Raw genomic sequence first — 3,279 nt, 5'->3', positions numbered from 1 at the left:
CACAGGTGGGGGGCCAGCAACACCCGCATCATCCCCTTGACAGCATCTCCCTCTGGACTGAGATATGGAGCTGGAACGGGTGTCCTGAGCCAGAGGGATTACCTAAGACCTGGGTGGGTACCAAAGGAGTGGTCAATTCTGTAAAAAGAACATTCTGGGCCCTGGTGAGGAACCCAACCCTCAGGGTGACATGGACACCCCTCAGTCAGCAACCAGCCATTGCCTCAAGGCAGATCCTGTCCCCAACCAGGCAAAGTCCACACCCCTGGACACCCCATTTCCCAGCAGGAAAGCCAGGCTGTTCCAGAATGTGGCTGCTGCTCTAGGAGACGACCCCACAGGGCAGGCACTGAGCGCTCAGCCTCTGTTGACCGGGGAAACGCGTGGAACTAAAAAGCAATCACAACTCCAGGAACGTCACAATGAACGCACACTCATCCATCACAGTGGTGTCTACCCAGGTTGGGACCTCTGTCCTGCTGGGTCGGGTTCTCCAGAAGCAGAGCCTAAGACCAAGCATCTTAGAATGCACATTGAGGCTGCATTCAGGAGAAAGGTGAGGGAGGAAGGGCGGGGTAGGCAGGCAGGGCAGGGTAGGGAGGGCTGAGAAAGAATGGGGTCCTGGAGGCGTCCAGCCTCAGTCTGCTCCAGCGAGGAGCCCTGGAGCATGAATTGCACCACAGAGGTTCTCCCATTCAGAGGCAGGGGCCGAGTGTTACCCCAACACTGCTCAGCCATTGGTTATGGGCTGCCTTGGGGGCTGATGAGAAGACACAAACTCCCAGGCCCTTCCTGGTAAGGTGGCTCTGGTTTCCTAGAGCAATTCTCAGAAGTGACGGGTGGTGGCTGCTGGAGACACAGGTGTGAGCTGCTCAGGGCACAGGTGTGGGCTGCTCAGGGCACAGGTGTGGGCTGCTGGGGTGCACTTAGGGGTAGGCTGCTTGGAGTGCACACAGCTGTGGAGACATGCGTGCCTCAACCCAGTAACAGGGGTCCAAGGACCTGGGGGGAGCCTGACAGTGTCTGCACCCTCAGCCCCAGTAGCATGTGGCACTGCTGTGCAGGTGTTCCAGCTCACAGGTGTGGGGCCAGGGTTCTGGGTCCTCAAGCCAGGCCCTGCTGGTGGATACAGCTGCACACACCACTTAGCCATATTCTGGCTGAACACCTGCTTGGAGGCCACCCTGGGAAGAGCTGGTAGGAGGAGCAGGCAGGGCAAGTTGATGCAGAGCAGGAGCGGCATCCCACCCTGCAGGGAGGGAGAGAGAGAGCAGGTCAGGGTGAGCTGGGCCAACCCATAGCTTGGAAGTTATAGGCCTGGGAAGGTGGAGTGGCCCCCAGCAAGGAAAGGCCTGGAGAACAACTCATGAGCCAGACATGAGGAGCGAGAAGCCCAAAGCCCAGCCTCAGGGTGCCTGTGGGCTCAGCACTGAGCCTCAAAACAAGACTTGGGAAGCACCAGGCTGTGAGGTTCACCTGGAGTCCTGAGTCCTGGCTGGTGGACGCAGACAGCACACTGAAGGATTTCGCACTTCCTCATTCTCTCACGAATGTCTATAGAGTGCCTTTCTGGATGGTTTCAGGTTCCTAGGCCTCCATAAAATGAGCAGCTTACAACAGAAATTCATTCTCCCAGCTATGGAGGCCAGGACCCCAATATCAAGGTGTGGGCCAGGCCACGAATGCACCCCAATACAGGCTCCAGGGGTGTTGTGAGATGCTGGGATGCATGTTTAAGTGTGGGCTGCTGGGAGCACACGGTGCCCTGCTACAGACTCTTTTTGCTTCTGGCGAGCCTTGGGCGTCCTCACTCCGGGCTGCGCCTCCTCTCCAAGGCGCTCCCTGTGGGTCCGCAATCACGTGAGCTTCCTGTGAGGACGCCGCCATGTGGGTCAGACCTCCATGACTTCATCTCAACTTGACCACATCTCCAAAGCTCTTATGCCCACACGAGGTCACTGGGGATCAAGGGACCACTCCCAGGTTCCAGGGCTTAGAACTTCAGCATATCTTCCTGTGACACGAGTGACCTCCCTGCTATGTGCCTCTCAGACCCTCAGTATCTTCCTCTATAGAAGGATAAACCACCGTCTCCCTAGCGGTGAGCCTGGGGTAGGGAGGGAGTCACGCCGAAAGCTGAGTGTGCCGTTGTCAGCACAGCACAGGTAAACATCAGTGCTTCACCAACACCCTGTGCTCTGCGTGTCTTTCAGCATTGTGGCGCCAAGAGAGGGTAACAGGAGAGGCCGAGGAAGCGCCACCTCTCGAATCCACCCAGGCCAGGCTTTTCCTGTGGAATTACCCTCATTTTCCAATGGAATCTGGCCACACCCCCACCTGATCCCAGAAGGGTGGGGCCGGGCCCTCATGAGGACCCCCCAGAGCCTGGCGACAGCGGTGGCCTCTCTCTCTGCACAAGGGAACTGGGGCCTTTCCACCAAGACCCTGCTGTCCCCAGCCACGCTCTGCCAGCTCCCGGCAGCCCTCCTGCACCACTGCTGCCCCAGAAGTGCTGTCCGGTGTGGGGGTCCCCTGACCCAGTCACTCCGCACCACTGCCCCATGCTGACACCATGCACACTCCCTCTCCCATTTGCGTGTGTCCTCACAGGCCTCACACAGCCACCGCCCAACCCTGGCACACAACATCACGCGACACACAGGGAGGCCGAGAGCAGGCAGCGCAGGCCGGGCCGGCAGTGAGGACTCCATTCAGGTGTCTCCACACCCCGGTGGTGGTCACGGGCCATGCGCCCTGGAGCACCACGTCTTTGGAAGGATGGCACTCAGCTGCCAGCTCCCCGGCGCCAGCTGTAGCTCTGAGGCGGGCAGCTGGCCAGGGCCCGGCAGCTAGCAATGCTCACAAGCCCATATGGCCCCCGCCCAACACCCCTCACCCGTGAGTCCTGAGGCATCTCCCTGCCTGCCCGCTGAGCCCCGGGCAGTCGGTGGCTATGGGAAGGGGCGCTCGCCTCTGGACTCCACTGGCCCTTCCGCCCACAGCCCGAGCCCAGGGCTGCTCTCCGAAGGCCCTGCCGTCAGAGGGACAGGATGGGTCTCTTTCCCTTCCTCTTCTCTAAAGAAGAGACCTTTCTCCTGCCTTTCATCTTCCATAAAGCACTGTGGCTTCTGCTCCCTGTCGGCCAGGACATTGACAATTGTTTATTCATTTTAAAATAGCTGAAATTCATGTCAAACATTCCGCATGTTAGAAAAATGTTTATGAAGTGTTATCATCGTTTATGTAACTGTGCGTGTTGAGGAAAGCAACGTGGACTGT

The 3,279-nt window shown here is 58.7% G+C and overlaps 2 annotated features.

Annotated features, from left to right (window-relative positions):
* Positions 1,435–1,484: an enhancer, noted in NCBI's record as "active region_18202". NCBI's record gives its function as "activates an Ori minimal core promoter by ATAC-STARR-seq in GM12878 lymphoblastoid cells {active_cell/tissue: GM12878}" and the evidence as "EXISTENCE:reporter gene assay evidence [ECO:0000049][PMID:35858748]".
* Positions 2,779–3,279: an enhancer, noted in NCBI's record as "H3K4me1 hESC enhancer chr20:61012716-61013216 (GRCh37/hg19 assembly coordinates)". NCBI's record gives its function as "activates a minimal SCP1, AML or CMV promoter by ChIP-STARR-seq in naive H9 embryonic stem cells {active_cell/tissue: H9 hESC(naive)}" and the evidence as "EXISTENCE:reporter gene assay evidence [ECO:0000049][PMID:30033119]".

Source organism: Homo sapiens, chromosome 20 (assembly GCF_000001405.40).
Source record: "Homo sapiens chromosome 20, GRCh38.p14 Primary Assembly".
NCBI lineage: Eukaryota > Metazoa > Chordata > Mammalia > Primates > Hominidae > Homo > Homo sapiens.
Note: the sequence above shows the minus strand (reverse complement) of the source record. Positions and strands in the feature narration are given on the sequence as shown.